The sequence below is a fragment of the Homo sapiens genome, chromosome 22, assembly GCF_000001405.40.
Source record: "Homo sapiens chromosome 22, GRCh38.p14 Primary Assembly".
NCBI classification, from domain to species: domain Eukaryota; kingdom Metazoa; phylum Chordata; class Mammalia; order Primates; family Hominidae; genus Homo; species Homo sapiens.
Window position 1 is genome coordinate 43807549 of NC_000022.11, and position 19721 is coordinate 43827269.

The window sequence follows — 19721 nt, forward strand, 5'->3', positions numbered from 1 at the left end:
AATCATAACAAAAGTGCCATCCATCTGCCTTGGCATCCAGAGAAAACATAATTCAACACAAGAGTAAAAAGTGTGCACAGCCAAATAGAAATGGCACCAGAAGCAAAAATTGCTGGAACTGTATCATGGAGAGGGGTGTGGAAATTATCACTCGACTAAATTGGAAAAAATTGTAAGCAACACAAAAGGTTTTGGCAGTTAAATCCAAACACTTGAGAAAAATCTTCTTGTCTATACTGATATCAAATGGACTGTTATATTTTGGGACATATCAACTATCAAGTTCCCTTTATAGCCTTCCACACACTTCCATATACACATTGGCCATTTACTGAGCATCTACATTCTTGGACGGTGGAAAAATCAAAACCTTTGACGTCAAGCAGGCATAGGGTCAAACTGGCTCCACCATCCACCACAACAACTTGCAAGTTAATTAACCTCCTCCTGACTCAGTTTCCTCATTTGAAAAAGGGAGATACAGTTGTCGTCCATATCCATGGGTTCCACATCCACAGATTCAACAGTGGATTGAAAATATTCAGGAAAAATATGGATGTTGATGTCTGTACTGAATATGTATGGACTTTTTTCCTTGTCTCAATGATATGGTATAACGATTTCCATAGCATTTACATTGTATTAGGTATTGTAAGTAATCTAGAGATAATTTAAAGCATATGGGAGGATTATGTAGGTTATATGCAAATACTACACCATTTTATATAAGGGAATTGAACATCCATGAATCTAGGTATCTTCGAGTGGGTGCTGAAACGAATCTCCCACAGATACTGAGGGACCACTGGAATATCTCTCCTTTAAGCAAGTATTCTTAACATGGAATCGCGGTCCATGTGTGTGCTTTTATAGCCCTACAGACTTACTGACATGCAAAACTGTGTGTGAGATGATTTTTCTAGAGCACTTCTCAAAAGGCAGGTGACCCCAAAATGGTAAATGCCACTGCTCCAAAGGTGTAGATGGATCACAGGTGATATTCGTGAAGTGCCTGGCACACAGTGAACTTTAGCTATTTGGTAGCTGTTATTTTTAGGTCCCGAGGATATACAGAAAGATAAATCAGACAGAGCATTGGGCAAAAACAAAAACAAAAACAAAAACAAAAAACAGCTATATGGTTATAGGTGTCACCTCAGAATATCAGAATAAAATAACAGAGAAAAAACAAAAAGTGAGTCCAGAAAAAAACCCAGCAGGAAGAACTGGCAGGATGGAAACACCAGGAGTGCCAAGGCAGTGAGATGACCACTGCCTGGGGATCCCCAATGCTTAGGCAGGGGTTGGCATATGGCAGATGCTCAATGAATAGTTGCTAAGTAAATGAGCAAACAAATGACTGAAACCAACCCAGGATGCAGGATAACACCATTTACAACGTCCCAGGGGAAAAACTACATTCAGAAGGTGTTATCGAAAACTTACTATTCAGAAATCTTCAATCTCAAATATTCAGTTCAAATGCTAAAGTCCACATTCTCTCCCTGAAGAGTGAGGACATTAAGCCCACACTTTTGTCATTGGGCAGTAATCTAGGCCCTTCCAATCCTCTGCGATGAGCCCTGTGAGAAATTTATTTTAGAAACAGGTTAGACCTATTTTTCCAGATGAATCAAAAGGCCTTATTTCCCTGGAAAAAAAAATAAATTTTATTACCTTCTATTTTTTTACTTTTATTTTTCCATGAGTTGACAAGAAGCTCCCAGCTAAATTTCCAGCCCAACTTTATTAACCGTTATAGATGATCTGAGTATTCCTTCTTTCTGATACCTTCCTATTCTGTCTATATTTTTAATGATTCTGATTTACATGTTTCTATTTTATCACATTGTAGTTATTCTTACAAGTCATCTCAAAGCCTTGGCAGGACTTGTAGAGTATATAAGTGTTTGAGAGTGATAGCATACTCATCAAGAACACAGGTTATTATCAGGCAGTCCTGGAGTTGGAGCCATACTCACTACCATTTATCAGCTTTGTTAAGTCCCTTAACCTCTCTGTGTCCCTGTTGCCTTTTGTTTTGTTTTTTTGTTTGGTTTTGGTTTTGTCTGTTTTGAGATGGAGTTTTACTCTTGTTGCCTAGGCTGGAGTGCAATGGTGTGACCTCGGCTCACTGCAACCTCCACCTCCCAGGTTCAAGAGATTCTCCTGCCTCAGCTTCTGGAGTAGCTGGGATTACAGGTGCCTGCCACCATGCCTGGCTAATTTTTTGTATTAGTAGAGATAGGGTCTCACCACGTTGGCCAGACTGGTCTCGAACTCCTGACCTCAGGTGATCCAACCGCCTCGGCCTCCCAAAGTGCTGGGATTACAGGCATGAGCCACCGCGCACAGCCTGTTTTGTTTTTTGAGACAGGGTCTCATTCTGTCGCCCAGGCTGGAGTACAGTGGCATTATCATGGCTCACTGCAACCTAAAACTCTTGGGTTCAAGTGATCCTCCCATCTCGGCCTCCTGAGTAGCTGGAAGTACAGGCACATGCCACCATAGATATGGGGGGGGTCTGACTTTGTTGCCTGGGCTGGTCTCGAACTCCTGGCCTCAAGCGATCCTCCTGCCTCAGCCTCCCAAAGTGGTAGGATTACAGGCATAAGCCACCACACCCAACTTGTACTTTTCCATAGCCAACTTGTGAGGACTAAATTTAAAAAGTATGAGGGACCAAACTGTGCTTGGCACACAGTAAGTGTTCAATTAGTATTAGCCAGTAGTAGTATTAGTAGTTGCTGTAGTAGAAATAGAAGTAGTAAAACTGTGGACAAATAGATGGAAAGAAAAAGTAACAAATGGTACCTGAAACAAAGTAAACAAAATAGCAGTGAAAGATCAAAACCAAAAGTAGAAAATGAAGCTTTTAATACTGAAAGGGTATCATATTCATGTTATCTCTATTCACAGTTTTCTCAAACCTGTCTCAGTTGTTAACAACTGCCTTGTTAACAACCAGTGGCCTCTCACCAGATTCCTGATCTGGGCAGGCACCAGGCTACTAAACATCCTCATGGAGCTGGTTCTGTCTCCAGGTGCCAGTCAGCTGCAGAGATCAGAGCATGGGTGCTATAGAGATCTCTGTACAAGGGGAAGAGGTAGATAGCTGGAACAGGGCAGTTTTTCCCTGGAGAGCGAAATTTACAGTCTCAGGTAAGCACTTCTTGATAAATATCTATGATCACCTATCATGAACCAAGCATTAAAATAAGCATAGAGGAAAAAGGGAAAGCACAGATAACTAAAATAAAATCCTCATCCTCAAAGGATCTTGCAATAAGACTGGATAGGAGGCAAATATCTTCACATATAATCAAAGGGGCCATTTCTGACTCACTTTCATATCCCCAGAACTTAGCCAAGTAAACGTTTGCTGAATTGAAGGCAATGGATAAAAGACATGAACTGTAGTGTATGAAAGTAGAATTGATTTACAGCATTTCTGTTAAGGCCACCCATTTAGGAACACATATTAAATTAGGCCAAGGCGGGCGGATGGATCACTTGAGGTCAGGAGTTTGAAACCAACCTGGCCAACATGGTGAAATCCCGTCTGTACTAAAAATACAAAAATTAGCTGGGCGTGGTGGCAGGCGCCTGTAATCCCAGCTACTTGGGACACCGAGGCACGAGAATCGCTTGAACCCGGGAGGTGGAGGTTGCAGTGAGCTGGGATCGCTGCACTCCAGCCTGGGTGACAGAGGAAGACTCCATCAGGAAAGAAAAGGAGAGGCGAGGGGAGGGAAGGGGAGGGGAGCGGAGGGGAAGGGGAGGGGAGGAGAGAGGAGGGGAGGAAGGGAAGAAAGGGGAAGGGAAGGGAGGGGAGGGGAGGGAGAAAAGAAAAGAAAAGAAAAAAGAAAAGAAAAGAAGAGTCCTCTTAACAGGGGCAAGACATCCTGAAAGGCAAAGATTTGGAGAGAAAGGAAGGGAGTAGAGAGAGGGGTGATTTGGACAACCTTCAAGTAAGCCCTATACAGATGTATACCTCACAAAGTGCTTCCAAACAAAATTTCTGAGGGAGGCAGGGGTAATTATGTGCAGGCTGTGGGAGAAGAGTGTAAAAGAGCAGAGATTTTGCCGTGATACAGAAATGAGTTTGAATTCTGGCTCAGAAACTTCCTAAGATAGTTGTGTGACTTTGGAAAAGCCCCTTCACCCCACAGGTTTCAAGTCCTCGTCTGTCTACAGGAGGGAGTCAATCATGACATTCACAAGACTGCTGTGGGCACAAATGAAATCAGGGGCATGAGACATGTTGTAAACTGGAGAGATTTAGGGCGTTTCCACACACATTTCCCAGCTGATTCTCACAGAGAGGCAGGGAAGAAGACGTCACCACCGTCAGCGTTGTTTATCGTTCTTCTCCACATATCAGGTAAGCTACGGGAACAGGGGCCCTACTGTTCCCCACAGGGCCCCAGGGCCTACAACATGCCTGGCACAAGCAGACGCGCCATGAACACCTGAATAAACGAATCACCACCCCTTCGTCCCTGGGGGTGGGCAGCAGCGCCGGCCTTCTCAGGGCAGTGAGACCCACGGAGCTGCCCGCCCGCCCGGCCCCTCCTCGGCCTGTCGCACGCGCGTGGCCACCCCGAATACAGCCTTACCGGGAACCCCTCCTCGATTCTCCGCCTAGCTGGGCCGGCACCCGCGTGCGCGGACCCCAAGCCGCGGGGTCTCAGAGGGGCTGCCCATTCGGCGTCTCTAGGACGCTGTTGCCCGAGAGACGACGGCAGTCGCTGACTGGAGAATGAGCCTACGCGCCTGGCAAGAAGCTGAGCTGTGATTGGTCAATTGGAGATAAACGAGGAGGGGGCGGGGCCAGGTCAGTCCCGCGCCTCCGCTCCCGGAAGAAATTTCCGCCGGAAGTCCCGTTCTCTGGGGAGCGGGAACCCTGGCGACCCGTGTCATGGGAGCGGGTTTCTGTTACGTGGGCTTTAGCGCGAGCTGGGCGGTCGGCCCGGTCCCACCGAACTGCATAGGGCCGTGTAGCCGGGGGAAGTCAGCCCCCTGCTCTGAGAAGCAGACTCTGCATCTGTAAAAGGCTAAGCGTGCCCACTGGGGCCTGTGGTCAGGATTGGCTGCAGTGAGGTCCGCAAAGCCCCTACCGCATCCTGCGCCTTCGTTAGGGTGAGCAGTCATGGGGACTCGCATTGTGCCACCACGTAGCGGGTCTCACTGGGTCCGCTTGTCTGCTCGAGGAGACAGCCGGTGAGGACGGGAGCTGGCCTGCTTTGCCCAGGCTGTAACCTCAGCCTCCGCCCATACCCACAGTAAGCATCCATTCCATTGATATTCGCTAAATGAGTGAATTATTACTAAGACAGAGGGCCGAGTGGAAGCGCCATAAATCACGTGAGTGAATGTAATTGTTGTCGCTGACCCTATGGAGCACTTCCCTTGCCAGGCACTCACCCATCCTAGGTATGTACTTTACATGTAATTGTCATCTTCATTTGTCTTCACAACAACCCTGTGAGGTGGGTGCTGTGGTTACTCCCATTTTACAGATAGGTAACTGAGGCACACAGAGCATTTTGTTCAAGGACACACTGCCAGTCAGGGGTAGGAGCAGAATGAGAACCTATGGAGCTTGCTCTTAGGCACCCTGCCACACTGCTCACTGTGGGAGAGAAGCAGCCAGGCAGACGTGTGCAGCTTGGAATTCCTTGCACACATGGCTGCGGCAGGTCAATTAGGTGCCCTGGTGTGTGCTGCAAAGATGGATACTATGCGGTCCCTGCTGGGCACTCTGACTACTTCACTGGGCAGCTAGTTTTCCTGTTCACCAAGAGAATTCTTTCCCATGGCTTGTCTCAGACCTCCCGCACTCACTACTTCCTCACCGGACTCAATGACCATGGGTCTTATCCCATTGAGAAAATGTAATGCATAAGAATGGAATGCACTCCTTCACAATCACTTTGGCATTCATCGCCTCTTTTCCTCTTGCCCCAAAAGAGGGTCTCTTACAGAGGCCAGTCCCTCTAACTGTGTCCTGGATCCCTCCCCATTTGCCTTCTTTATTATAGGCAGTGCTCTAAGTGTGGTCTGGGAATCCCTGGGGATCCTGAGACCCTTTCAGACTGTCCATGGGGCCAAAAAATACTTTCATAACACTTAAGACTTTACTTGCTTTTTCATTGTTTTTCTCTCATAAGTATATGGGGGGATTTTCCAGAAGCTACATGATGTGTGATATTGCAACAAATTGAATGCAAAAGAAGGTAAGAGATCCAGCGGTCTTGTACTAAGCCAGATGTTAAAGAGATCTGCAAAAATAGAAAACTGCCCCTCTTTTCACTTTTTTGGAAAGTGTAATTTTTCATTAGAGAACGTTAACATCTAATGGGTTTATTATTTTTAATGAGTTAATAAATTTTTTATCAATTGTATTTTCTAACATGGTAAATATTGATAGATATAAACATAAATAAAAGTTTTTTGGGATCCTCAATACTTTTTAAGAGTGTGAATGGATCCTGAGGCCAAAAAGTTTGGTCCTGAGATCAAAAGGGCTTCAGTTATTCCCTCTCTCATGATAGCCAAGAGTCTCATTCTTTCTCTTTCTCTCTTTCCCTCCTTCTTGGAACATGCTCTAGTATCTCACATCTTTAAAAAAAAAATAGATGATCTTCTGGTTTCCACCCCATTTCTCTGCTCCTCTTTAACCTGCTTCTCAGTAGAGCTGTCTATACATGCTGTCTTTCAGTTACCAAATTTCACAGAAGCGTGACTCTCATTGCCTGGTAACTGGCATTCTCACAAATACTTCTTCTCTACTTGGCCGTACATTACTTGACCTCTCAGTAGCATTCAGCCCAGTTGATCACTCCTTTCTGCCTGAAATACTTCAGGCTTCTCTAATACCACACCAACTACTCAATTCTTGGGCCCCACTGGTGACTTCCCTCCTCTGTGTGGCCTTTGGATGTTAGGGCCCCTCTGACCCTGTCGTAGGTCCTGCTGTTATGCTTCTCACCAGCCTTGACCCCTCTACTGGAATGTACTGGAGATCACTCAGACTTAAGCCATCCATATTGCCCTTGATCCACTCACCTCCCTCACTCACCTATTACTTTTTTTTTTTTTTCGAGACGGAGTCTTGCTCTGTCGCCTAGACTGGAGTGCAATGGTGCGATCTCGACTCAGTGCAACCTCCACCTCCCAGGTTTCAGCAATTCTCTGCCTCAGCCTCCCGAGTAGCTGGGATTACAGGCGTGAGCCACCATGCCCAGCTGATTTTTGTATTTTTAGTAGAGACAGGGTTTCACCATGTTGGCCAGGCTCGTCTTGAACTCCTGACCTCGTGATCCGCCTGCCTCGGCCTCCCAAAGTGCTGGGATTACAGGTGTGAGCTACTGTGCCTGCCCGCACTCACCTATTCCAAAGCAATGCTCAAACTAGGAAGCCTTGTTGTTACCCTCAATGATCACTACCTCATACCCCATATCTAGTGCTTCAGCAAGTCTTGTCGATTCTAACACCAGAATACGTACATGGTAGCAATCTCATCCATTCTCTCCAAGTTCCCCTGCACTACCTTGCCTTAAAAGCCTTCTTATGCTAAAAATAAAAATCTTTAAAACAGCATGCAGGGCCACTGGGACCATCCTACAACCTCAACCTCATTCTCCCCCCAGGATCGCTATGGTCACAAAGCCCAGAAGCCAGCTTGAATGGGGCTCCTGCTGGCCAGAATAATGAAGGACAGTAAAAGAAATAGGAGTCATGAGTCCAGGCCCAGGAGCGATGGACAGATAGAATAAATGCAGGACAAGGGAGGGCACGTGCTTGCAGTAGCAGGCCTAGGGACAAATGGTCATGCAGGAGGACTAGAGCTGAAAAGCCATCATGTTGCAACCACTGAGTGAAGATTGATTCAGGCAAGGATCATTCACGGGTGCTTCATCTCGGGGTTCTTTGGATGGGGAGCAGGATATTTGCATTGTTTTAAAGGATAGTCCCACAGATCACTTATTACTTACAGGAGAAAAAGTAGTCATAATACAAAAGAAAAATGGACAATGCTTGGATACCATAATAAAAATTAACACTACCAACAAGGAGCATGGACATTGTGTGGCTTCAGATGTAATGTGAAGGACAACCTCCGTTGAAAAGGGCAACTGCTGTAGTATTCTAATCTGGAATGCATCACCTAATCCTATCATAAGAAGACATTAGGAAAAAAAAAATAAAGATAATTCCATTTTTTTAATGGTTTTTGGTGTTTTGTTTGTTTGTTTGTGACAGAGTCTCGCTGTGTTGCCCAGGCTGGAGTGTAGTGATGCGATCTCAGCTCACTGCACCCTCCACCTCCTGGGTTCAAGCGATGCTGCTGCCTCAGCCTCCCAAGTAGCTGGGATTACGGGCACACACCACCAAGCCCAGCTAATTTTTGTATTTTTAGTAGAGATAGGGTTTCACCATGTTGGCCAGGCTGGTCTTGAACTCCTGATCTCAAGTGATCTGCCTGCCTCAGCCTTCCAAAGTGCTGGGATTACAGGCATGAGCCACTGTGCCCAGCCTGTAACTTACTTTCAAATGCTTCTGAAAAAATTATGTATTGATAGATAGCAAATAATAAAGCAATTGGGGCAAAACGTGCACAGTTTAAGTGGATCTGAGAAAGGGAGTTGTATTAGATAGGGCTGCGGTAACAAATTTCCACAGACTGGGCAGCTTGGACAACAGAAATGTATTGTCTCACAGTCCTGGAAGCATCTTCAATCCAAAAGAACCTGAGGGATAATTTTAGGTGATAAACCCTGGCCAATGTCTGGCTGTGTGGGCAAACATGGAATTCTAGTAGGGAATACCTTAATGTCTTTTGCACTGGCCTGCTCTCAACAGTGAAGCAGGCCGGGCACGGTGGCTCATGCCTGTAATCCCAGCACTTTGGGAGGCTGTGGCAGGAGGATCACCTGAGGTCAGGAGTTCGAGACCAGCCTGGCCAACATAGTGAAATCCCATCTCTACTAAAACTACAATGATTAGTCAGGCGTGGTAGTGGGCACCTGTAATCTCAGCTACTTGGGAGGCTGAGGCAGGAGAATTGCTTGAACCAGGGAGGCGGAGGTTGCAGTGAGCCAAGATTGCGCCACTGCACTCCAGCCTGGACAACAGAGCGAGACTCCGTCTCAAAAAAAAAAAAAAAAAAAAAACAACAGTAACAGTGACGCACACATAAGTGGTGTACAACTGGATCAATGTAGCCAAGAACCCAGAAACTCAAAACCCTTGCTGATTTCCTTGAACCCAAGGATAATTTTTCTATATGTTGAAATGACTAATTAGATGAGTCCATCATGAAGTTTTGTCACGTGATTCTCTCTTTTTTCTCCTTAAAGATCATCTTCAATCCAGAGGGTTTTCCTTGTTCCAGGAAACGTCTCACCTCCATGTGCAGATTTAATTTTTACAGAAACTGAAATTTCCCTCATTTATTATCTAGATGAGCCCCTAAAATCTATTCAATAAGGTTTGATCTTTGATGGAACAGACCAGAGTTGTATAATGTGACAGTGGCCCCAAGGAACAGTTTGTAGGAGGAGATTGTTGTCTTCTCTGAAAAAAACTTCCCAGAAGACATTGATGGTTCCCTTAGGTGCCCTGCAGTGGGTCCACTTCCAACAGGCTGAAGCCTGGATTTGGTGGGTGAGGGTCCTACCTTTTCCTAGATACCATTCAGCATCACTGAAGCCAGTAAACTCACCTCCTGAGGAACCGTTACCATCTGTACTATTTACACCCATGGCATGAGTCTGCTGCTCAAGACCTTTGATGAGAATCTTGAAAAGGAAACCATGAATTGCTGGAGAAAATATCTTTACACTTATATGCAACAGATGGTCCATTCCCTCAGTATTCAAGAAGAAACTCTGGGATCATGGAGACCTGGGTGACAATCACCCTCTGCCCACCCTGCGGGTTTTGGGGGCTTGGAGCTGGTTTTCACCACAATTCTGTACACCTAAGAGACTGGGCCGTAAGATCGAGCCTGTAATTATCTCACAGGCATCAGTGATGATGTTACGAATGCAGATTATGCCTTCATGTGGAGAAAGAAACAGTAGGGGCTGATTAGCCACGAAGAAGTTAAGTACTGGTTTCCACCATGTCTATTAATAAAGAAGGGAAGAAGAGCAAGTACGTGGCAGGGATGCGTAGCGTGTCCACATGGAAGCGGAGAGCCTCTCCCTCTCAGAAATCTGCTTCCCTGACTGCTGTCCTTTTGGTAGTCTCATAAAATGGAGACAAGATTCTCTTCAGCTGTCCTGAGGAGGAAAAAAAAATATGACATAAAAATAAATGAGGTATAAGTAGCTCTTTTGGAAAAGCTACTGTGGTTATTTTTTCTTTATTAAAATAGCTGCTTTATCTCTCGAATATTTACCTTGACAGATGACGCAGCTGCTCGTTTTAGTTCAATCAGCCAGAAACTAAATTGCACATGTTAAACGTTGTCACTACAAATAATTGATGATTACTTGTAAACAGGGGGCCATTTGAGGATCTATCTGAGGATCCTCCATGGAGAGCGGCTCTCCACAGGCTCAGCAAAGCACCTAGGCATGTTCTCTTTCCCCTTTAAGAGACTGATATACTATTAAGCTCTTAATTTCCTTTAATAGCTACTGGTTGTTTCCTTTCACGGAAAGAAGAATAAAATCCACTTATGTTGCTCCTGAACAAGATTCCGTGGTGTCGAACACTGATATTTAGAATTTTAATGAACCCTGGCTGGGCGCAGTGGCTCACGCCTGTAATCCCAGTGCTTTGGAGACCGAGGCGGAGGGATCACCTGAGGTCAGGAGTTCGAGATCAGCCTGGTCCACATGGTGAAACCCTGTCTCTACTAAAGATACAAAAATTAGCCAGGCGTGGTGGCAGGTGCCTGTAATCCCGGCTACTCAGGAGGCGGAGGCAGGAGAATCGCTTGAACCCTGGGAGGTGGAGGTTAAGGAGAGCTGAGATCGCACTACTGCACTCCAGCCTGGGTGACAGAGTGGGACTCTGTCTCAAAAAATAATTTTAATGAAACCTGCCTCCCAAACATTATATTGCAGCAATCTTAGAAGAATGCACCACCTCTGGAATAGAGAAGCAGTTGGGAAAGAAGTGTTTCATGTTTCCTACACCTGGGCAACAGGCAGGCCCCTGACAACCACAAGTAATTCTTTCCTGAGAGCCGGGATCTTGCAACAGCTTGTCATTAGTGCTGTTTAGCATTTAATTTGCCTTTAGTTAGGTAACAAGCATTTATGGATTACCTGTTAGGAACGAATGCACAGTATGGGAACAGAGGGATGAATGAGGCACAGACTCTGCTCACAGCCTACTTGGACTAGAAATATCTACTCAGGAAAGAAAACTTGAAAGCAGTTAGCAAATGCAAACCGATATACCACTACAGGGAATCATCACTCTTTCCGAATTCAAGGCTCTAACTGCTGGCACACTTCTAAGGAAAAAAGATATGCGTTTCTGCATCCCGTCTCATGATGGGAGTGAAGATATGCCAGTCACGCCTTCTGTGGGCTAAGGAACGGTCCGGCCTTCTCTTCCTCTGCAGAGTCCGGGCGTGATGGAGACGCAGGATGGAGGCAGCCATCACCCATTGAAAAACAGCCTGTCTGCCAGATCTGGTGACCCCCCCCTAAGGTCCTTGGTAAAAACTGAGGCCTAGTTGTGTCCAGGATGGCAGTGAGCTGGGATTCATTCATGGCAGCCCCCAGGAGATTGCGTTTTTAAACCAGCCCAAGGCATGTGGTGGACATGGATTGGCAGCACCTACAGATAACGGGGAAGGCTTTCCAAGGGGCCAAACGGTCCATAGCAGTTAGGGAAGCGAACGTTAGAAGTGCAGGTCAAGGTCTCAGAGTGAGCAGTGTGGCTGGGCCAGAGAGGGCCTTCCAAGTGCATAGCCAGTGGAGGCAGCTGGACACAGCTGACATGACAAGGCAAGGCTGGATCCGTCAGACTCTGGGAATGCTCCCAGCCATCAGGCTTCACGGAGCACTGCTTCTGTGCTAAGTTCCTGATGCCAAGGAAAGTGAGAGAGACATGGCCCTGGCCTCAAGAAGCTTTCCCGGCAGATGGCCGTGTATCCGGGATATGTTAAGGGAGGTGTAATATTAACCAAAAGTGGAGCTCTGAGCTCCTACCCTTGGCAGAGGGCTTCTTGGAGTAGATCATGCCTGGACTGTGCCCAAGGGCGTCTTGGAGTAGATCGTGCCTGGATCGCACTGAATCAGTGTAAGCTGGGTCAAGTCGGGGAATGGCAACCCAGGCGGAGGGAAGTGCATACTTGGGACACGGAGGGCACAGACAAGCCGTGGTTCTCTGGCAGTGAGATGGGTGCCAGGCCACAAACTGGATCTGAGAGATTATTTCCCCATCTGGGAACTGCATGTACTATGGATTGTAAAGGGTCAACCTGAGAGACAGAAACAGGGAAAAGGCCCTCAACCATTCACTTCAGTGTCTGGGGATGCGTGGACTGGGGAAGAGTCTCTGGCTGGCTCCAATGCGGTCTCTGCTTCTGCAGAGGGGGCCTTGCTCACACAGTCTTCAGACTTGCATTCCCAGCTGGTGCCCAGCACCACGAATATATGGGAAGATAACAACTCTAAAGAGGGATAAAATGTATTTTTTGGTCGGTTTTTATTTTTCAAACACATTTAGCATTCTCTGGTTTTTAAAAAATGCTTTTAATAGAGCACAGACTCCTTTCCTCAGTGGTGAGGAGACAGATTTAAGGGCTGTAGCTCAGACAGTCAGTGCCAGCTAGCATTCAGGGATCCAAGTGTGAGAATCAAATTGTCGTTTGATGTGTGGATTTGGCAAAGGCTCAGCACGCCTTGGAGACGGTGCCCGTGGCCCACACTGGGTGGCAGGTGCTTCTGCCTTGGGCTCTCTGCTCCTGCCGGCCGGGCCTGTCATCGGCTGAAAAGCCGGCATCTCCCACACCCATCAGCTCCTCTCTGGAGCTGAGTCGCTGGACACTGTGACCACACTTAAGAGGCACAGCATGCTCCTGCTGGGTGGAATTTTAGGACACCTGGTCTGTGACCTCTTCATTATGACATAAAAGGGACCTTCCCTGCAGTCCCACAAATAGGAACAGAGCAGCACTGGAGCTGGCGCCCGACTCCCGGCAGGGAAGGGTTCTGTCCTCATTTGGGCGTATTCTGTTTCTGCCCACCTGGTGTGTGCCCTCCCTGACTCCTGCCCCATTTCCAGACCCGGCTCACGCGTACTTCTCACACTAAGCAGTCTCACTGAAGCCACCGCTTGGAATCTGCGGTGTTTACTGTCTGCCCCGCCCCTTTTGTTTGCCCGTTTGTTATGGAGGTGTGTGTTTAAACGGGCAAAGCAGCGTGCTGCCAGGGACACCAGGAAAGCCCACTTAGCCATCAACTGGAGACTCTGACAACTAGAAGAAACCTGGAAGGCCACGTGACAGATATGGAGACAGGCTGAGAGAAGGCAAGGGTCATACATGCCTGGGTCATGCAGCCAGCCAGGGACAAAGCCGGGACTTTAGAGCCCAGGTCCTCTGCTCCCTGCCAGGCCTCCTTCCACAAGGACGTGGGCGATTGCTGAGAGCAGAGCCCCGAGGGAATGGAATGGAGGGAACTTGATTAGAAGGGGGAGAATACCAAGCACAGGGCCTTGCAGAGCAGGTGCTCCTAAATGCCCAAGAGATGCAGGAAGAGAGGGAGAGATGGGAGTGTCAAGGAAGGGTCTCAGTAGCTCTATGGGCACCACGTTTCTGGGCTTGGGACAGAGAAAGAAGGGCAGAAGGAAGGGCACCGGAAACACAGCTACACCTAGATTTGGAAAGCCAGTGACCTCGGAAAGGATGGTCCGGACATGGGGAAGACCACGAGCCAGGCTGCACTTGTAGGAAGGACCAGGACCTGAGCCACTGGCAGTAAAGAAATGTCACTAAGGAAGTGGGGGCAATGGCAGGAAGTGGGGGTCCAGGGTAAGGAGACAGGAGGCCAGGCTGGGTCTTGTTTGGGAAGATGCAGCCTCCATGGGCCAAGCAGGAACAGTAGGAAAACCCTGACGGTGCAGTCCCCACTCTCAGGACGTCCCTGTCTCCAAAGGAAACAGCCACACAACACTGAGGTGGGGCGGTGAGGAAAGCAGGGATCGCTGGGGAGTGTGGGGGATGCACTTGTCCAGCAGAGGAGGCAGGGCTGGGCGGCTCAGTTGAGGGAAGTGATGATTCTGAGGGCCCTGGCTGGGGTGGCGGCTGCAGAGGGTGGCTCAGAGTGGAGGGGCTGTCCCAGGAGCTGGTGAGCTTACCGGGGACAAGATGTCCCTTGTCAGGGATGTCACAGAGGCTGTTCCTCAGCTGGGTCATGCTGGGTCACCTGACCCAGGGGCCCTCCCTGTCTTAAAATGCACGTTGTACAATAAAGAGTGGAAGAGGATGTCAATGGGCAGGAATGGAGCCAAACTCTACGGGAGAACGGAGCTGGCCAGGCAGAGCTGCTGGACACCTGAGGCTCCCTCCTTCCACCACAAACACCACTGCCCCATGGCCTAGAGAGGTGGGTAAAAACCGATCTCCACTGAGATCTCCCAGGACAGGGCCTGCACGTGGTGGCGCCTGTACCTGAGGGGGTCTCTCCGCAGTACTGGGGACATTGTGGATGCCCACCTAGCAGTGCTCACGCACCTCCCCCGGTGCACCACCCGCTGGCAACTGCAGCTTGGCCACTCTGGGAGCCTGGCTGGCCGGCAGGAGGATGGGGCCAGCACAGCCTCGTTTTATTTATGCTCAAAGGAGCGTCACTGTTCTTAGAACCATCCTCTGACGTGAGCAGGACAATGACGATCACCACTGTGTAAATCCTGACACTGGACCAGAGGAATTGACTTACCTGCTTCAGGTCAGAGAACCATGGAATCTGTGCTGATCCCTTTTCAGATGAAGAGCGGGGGGTCGAGGGAAAACAAGTGAACTCCAAATGACTTGGTGTCAGAGCCAGGAGGACAGCAAGGCGCGCCCAGCCCGGGCAGGGGCAGCAGCTGAAGGCTATCATTTGAGATCAGTTCAGGGTCTTGCTTGGCAAGAAGTGTGTGTGTGTGTGTGTGTGTGTGGCAATGCTATGTTGGTTGGTGTGTGTGTGTGTGTGTGTGTGTCAGTGCTATGGCAAGAAGTGTGTGTGTGTGTGTGTGTGTGTGTCAGTGCTATGGCAAGAAGTGTGTGTGTGTGTGTGTGTGTGTGTGTGTGTGTGTCAGTGCTATGTTGGTTGGTCCCCAAAATACTTTTTGGAATCTCAATTGGTCTGTGAAATCAAAATACCAGGCAACCACTGGCTTACGCTTAGAGGGCTCTGACATTCAGGAATGTTCTGTGGATTGTTGTGTAAAATAACAAAGGACTAGGCTGAGGGCTGCCCAGGACTCTCTCCCATTCCCTGCCTGTCCAGGTGACCCTCAACCTCAGGACACAGCTCAAATCCCACCCGCACTCCCATGCAACTGCCAACCTGATGGCTCCCTCCTCCTGACCCTGGCTCCCTCACAGTCCTCACAGCACCTTTTGCCTTGGCTTGTTTTCCCTGCCTTAGCTCCAGGTGAGCACAGCCAGAACCATGCTCAGAAGCCAGCACACGAAGGCCTGCAACTGCAGACCCCTAAGAAACCTTGGAGATGCTCTCAGACAGTGCCCACCTCACTTTGCAGATGGAGTGACTCACAGCTGGGACAAAGGTCCACTCGCTCTTGCCCCTGCAGTCTACCCACAAAGCAGCCAGGAGAGCTTCTAAAAATGCAAAGCAGGTGGCGTTCTTCTGAATAAGCCCTCCCATGGCTCCCTATCTTAGTACAAAAGCTGAAATCTCATGACCTGTGAGGCCCTCCAGCTGGCTCGCAGCCACCCCTCCAAAACCGAGTGCCTGCCAGCGCATTGCCCACCCAGCTGCAGCCAGGCCCCCCACTGCTCAGCACCATCTCCTCAGAGGCCCCCCCATTCTTCCACGGGCATGTTCCCTATCCCCTTAGAGCACGCTTGGGCCTGAACTGATCTTGGGTTCTGTCGCCTGTCTACCCCACTGGAATGCAAACTCCACAGAGGCAGGGCTTTCTCTGTCCCCTGCCGCATCCACAGTGCCGGGAACAGTGCCTGGCATGGAGCAGGTGCAGTCGAATGACCGACTCCATGAAGTGAGGTGAGTCACCCACCACGCAGGGAAGAGTGGACATGGGTAAACAGGCGCTGCCTGGGCTCCAGGCACACTGACTGCATCCTGGCTGCTTGACTGATGTGGTTAATAAATTACTAGAAGGCAAGCCCTCTAGGGCACAGCAGACTGGATACTTGATTAACCCAGGGTCTGTGTTAATTCCAGGTGCCAAAATAATTTCTAGAATTTCACCTGAGACCTAGAGGTAGTTCATTTGAAAATAAACATGATTTTCCAGAAGGCTCGAGCTTTCTCAAGGAAAGCAATGCCCTGGACTCTCCTTCCACAGGAAATCAGGAAGACAGGCTTTGGAATTCCCAGTGGGGAAGCACAGTTGGAGGGGCCGGCCTCGGGCACCACAGTGCGCAACGCTGAACACAGGGCTCCCAGGCAGAGACTGGGAGGTCCCGACACCTGGACCCACAGGTGCACCCGCATCTCCCATGCTTTTACCCTTTCTCCTCCACCCCATTTATAGAAGTGATCAGAGGTGAATGAGGAAATAGTGGGGGAACTGACCCCCTGGAAAGTCTGAATTTGAGTGAAATAATGGGGAGAAGTGAACCCCTGGAAAGTCTGAATTCTGCTTCATCAAAGCCCAACACGGGCCTGTTTCCCTCTGCTGTCAACCCCAGGGAATGGGGTGTCAACGGGGCCCACAGTCATATTGTCCCAAGCACCGACAGCACCGCTGCAGGGACCCCTCTACCCCCACAAGCAGAAACGCTCGACGCAACGCCGGGAACATGTCTTTATTAAAGATGCAAGCAAGCACAGAAGGATCATGTGTAGTGCTCAGTAACATCCATACAGTACTAAAAATAGAAAAATATAAATGAAATTTCACAGAAAGCAGCCTCCCTCACAGAAACACAGGCAAGGTGCTGCCGAGCCCACCATGCGATGCCACGTGCCACCTGCCTGGCCACGCTTCTCCCCATTACAAACAAAAACACAAGCTTCTCTCTACACCCGTTTCAAATACAGCACCAAGAACGGAGACCCCTTCCACAGCAGCGACCCTCCTGACCACCACTTTGGGTGCTTTCCAGCCACATAAATGACAGACAACCCCGGTCCCCACGGGGTTGGCTGGCTACTGGCCCCCGACTCTCCATCGCTTCAGCGAATGTGGGTGAGAAAATTAGGCAGTGAAGCAATAAAGACCTCACCTTTACTCCCTCAGATACACGGAGGGATGAGGTGGACAGACACGCAGGCGGCCGTGCCAACCTGATCCGAGTGAAACAGGGCTACACTCGCAAAATGGTCCTCCCACGGCTGAGCGCCTCAGGTGCACAGAACAAACTGAATGATAAAGACCCGGGGATTTTAGAAATTTACTATTAAGCATCTGCTTGCCAGCATTAGTAGGCTATCACTTCAGGAAACAAAGTAAGGCTGTGGAATTCAGCTCAAATTCCGAGCGCAACTCGGTCCTTTGGTGGCCGACTCTCCACCCACTGCATGCAAATGCTCCTGACTGCATTAGACTCCCACCTGCCAGCCTCACCAGGCAGACTTCCCTCAGCACATGCTCCGCGGGCTCCTCTGCATTGGGCCTTTGGAGCCGCCCGCTGGAAGTCTCTGGCAGAAGGACGTCCATTCTGAAGACCTAGTGAACAATTTCTGCTCATTTCAGGAAGGTTCTGAAGAAGTGAACTCCGTCAGAATAAACAAGTGTCCAGATTCCCCCCAACAGACCCAACTCATCCTCTGTTCTCACCACTATCTCAGAACCAAGTGAGAACAGAATGGCTGTGCCTTAGATAATAAAACTACAAAAATAAAGAGTTAACCCTGAGATCTTTCTACCATTCGGGTGTGGCTCGCTCCTGATTCCCCTTGGAAATGAACTTTTATTTGGTTTACTGACATTTATGTAGATTTCCAGTGAAAAGCTCTATAAAATACAATAATACGGGGTTGAAAAGGCAGACATTCTAGTTGCATATATTACAGGCTTTATCCTTACGGTCCAGGCCATTGGAACTGCAATGTGGAGACTGTTTGTAATCAGACATGGAGAGGCTGCACGTTCTAAAGGCGAGACAGCTGCTTTCGGTTGGGAATCATCACACTCCCTCCGCTCACGCCGCTCTTCCCTTCCCCCGCTGTTTCACACGCTGCTTCCAGAGTTTGTCCAGCAAGGAATAAATGAATGCATACAGGACTTTTGGCTAGTAGACTGTCTGGGTATTGTGAGCATGCAGGTTGTTGTTTCTGTTATTATAAATAAAAGTCAAACGTGAGGTCACACTTTCCCATCTTCTGTTTATACACCAAGTCAAACTTCTCATTCATGGAGACGGTGAAGATGTCCTTCCACAGCCCAACTCTTCCTGAAACGCAAACAAGAGAACTGCTGGGGCCACTTGCTGTCCGGCCAGCTACTGAACTAAAGGAAGCCTTGGAAATGGATCTGGAACATTCCAGATCTATTCCTGGATCCCTTTGAACTTGGCCTATGGGGGCAGGAAGGGCCGTCTGAGCTACAGACCAGGTGGTCCCCTAACATTTGTGAAACTACTGGATGCGGCAGAACATGACCTGAACCAGCTTCCCTCTGAGGCTGTGGCACAGTGAGCCACAACCACCTCCTGGTGCCATTCCACACCCCCCGCTGGGGCCCACCAGGGAGACTCTACTCCTGTTCAGTGCTGGGTCCCCAGCACCTAGAACGGCACCTGGCACGTGGCAGGTGTTTAATAAACATCCCAGGAGCGAGTATGATCTGCCGCGGGAGTGCACTGCTCTGGGCATCACAGGCAGCCCTGGCCCTTCCCACGCCATTATCCACTCACAGCTCAACAGTGCCACCAAGGCGTCATTGGCTTCGGGAGAATTTGAAAAGGAAAAAAAAATCATTCAAAGTGCAGAAAATTTTACACTAAGTAGGAAGCCCTCCTGACTGGGCCAAAGATGCAGATTTCAAGAAGCCTGCCCTGGCAAACCCTGGGGAGGAATTTAAAGTGAATCAAATAGTCGCAGCATTAGCTAGCTTTACAGACTAGATGCAAAACATGCACTGCAGTGAGAATTCCCTGAGTCAACAATAAAATGAGTCTGGGCACAGCCCCCAGCTGCTCTAGCCCAGGCTTAGTCAGAAACCCAGACCTCTTCCTGGCAGCCACAAGGGAGGGCTGAGCTGTGGGATAAACTGCAGGCACCGGTCTACGCTGGTTTATGAAGGCTTTGGAAAAACGAAAGACAGCTCAACATGACAAGAGAAGTTGTTGCTCCCATTGTCTTTGTTAATATAAAATCTTAGGTTGGTCTAGTCCAATAGCAACGGTGACCGTGAAGATGTCTGGGGCGGGGATTCCAAACTTCCCAGTTATGGGAGCTGTGAGCACATCACCCGAGTACTGCCTCCCTGCTTTTGAAGAACTGCTCGTTTAGAATTCTTTCCATTGTCAGCTCTCTGAGATCAGAGCTCTGTCTCCAGCAAATGTCCTTCACTAGCTCCGTTATTAACAGCGGTCCTTGTCCAGGCAG

General features: G+C 48.8%; 2 protein-coding genes and 1 long non-coding RNA gene across 24 annotated transcripts in view, besides 4 other annotated features; 1 reads left to right on the forward strand and 2 right to left on the reverse strand.

Annotated features, from left to right (window-relative positions):
- Positions 1-4757, reverse strand: part of EFCAB6 (EF-hand calcium binding domain 6) — a 283528-nt gene extending 278771 nt beyond the window's left edge. For 15 of the 19 annotated variants that reach the window (XR_007067980.1, NM_198856.3, XM_011530321.4 and 12 more), the window contains exons 1-2: positions 4620-4757; positions 1447-1583 (exon numbers count right to left, since the gene is read on the reverse strand). The gene's annotated coding sequence lies outside the window, so the exon portion shown is untranslated. Of the gene's footprint in view, positions 1-1446; positions 1584-4300; positions 4591-4619 lie in introns of those variants that run through there. The other 4 variants (XM_047441462.1, XM_011530319.4, XM_011530317.4 and 1 more) reach the window with 2 other exon arrangements.
- Positions 4279-4520: a silencer, noted in NCBI's record as "fragment chr22:44207707-44207948 (GRCh37/hg19 assembly coordinates)". NCBI's record gives its function as "represses an EF-1alpha promoter that drives an FKBP-Casp9 reporter gene in an ReSE screen in phorbol 12-myristate 13-acetate-treated (for megakaryocytic differentiation) K562 erythroleukemia cells {active_cell/tissue: K562(+PMA)}" and the evidence as "EXISTENCE:reporter gene assay evidence [ECO:0000049][PMID:32094911]".
- Positions 4852-5121: an enhancer, noted in NCBI's record as "active region_19191". NCBI's record gives its function as "activates an Ori minimal core promoter by ATAC-STARR-seq in GM12878 lymphoblastoid cells {active_cell/tissue: GM12878}" and the evidence as "EXISTENCE:reporter gene assay evidence [ECO:0000049][PMID:35858748]".
- On the forward strand, positions 4874-10354 carry EFCAB6-DT (EFCAB6 divergent transcript). 3 transcript variants are annotated; one of them, NR_186822.1, is made up of 2 exons: positions 4874-5436; positions 9366-10354. It is a non-coding gene; the product is annotated as an EFCAB6 divergent transcript (long non-coding RNA). The 3 variants fall into 3 exon arrangements; NR_186820.1 differs by having other exon boundaries at positions 4874-5285; NR_186821.1 differs by lacking the exon at positions 9366-10354 and adding an exon at positions 8003-8233 and having other exon boundaries at positions 4874-5285.
- Positions 5363-6164: an enhancer, noted in NCBI's record as "NANOG-H3K27ac-H3K4me1 hESC enhancer chr22:44208791-44209592 (GRCh37/hg19 assembly coordinates)". NCBI's record gives its function as "activates a minimal SCP1, AML or CMV promoter by ChIP-STARR-seq in naive H9 embryonic stem cells {active_cell/tissue: H9 hESC(naive)}" and the evidence as "EXISTENCE:reporter gene assay evidence [ECO:0000049][PMID:30033119]".
- Positions 12468-13109: an enhancer, noted in NCBI's record as "H3K4me1 hESC enhancer chr22:44215896-44216537 (GRCh37/hg19 assembly coordinates)". NCBI's record gives its function as "activates a minimal SCP1, AML or CMV promoter by ChIP-STARR-seq in naive H9 embryonic stem cells {active_cell/tissue: H9 hESC(naive)}" and the evidence as "EXISTENCE:reporter gene assay evidence [ECO:0000049][PMID:30033119]".
- SULT4A1 (sulfotransferase family 4A member 1) overlaps positions 16961-19721 on the reverse strand; it is a 38005-nt gene continuing 35244 nt past the window's right edge. For both annotated transcript variants that reach the window (XM_011530121.2, NM_014351.4), the window contains one exon: positions 16961-18565. In XM_011530121.2, coding sequence (XP_011528423.1) covers positions 18453-18565 — 113 coding nt within the window. In that variant the 3' untranslated portion in view covers positions 16961-18452. The remainder of the gene's footprint in view (positions 18566-19721) is intronic.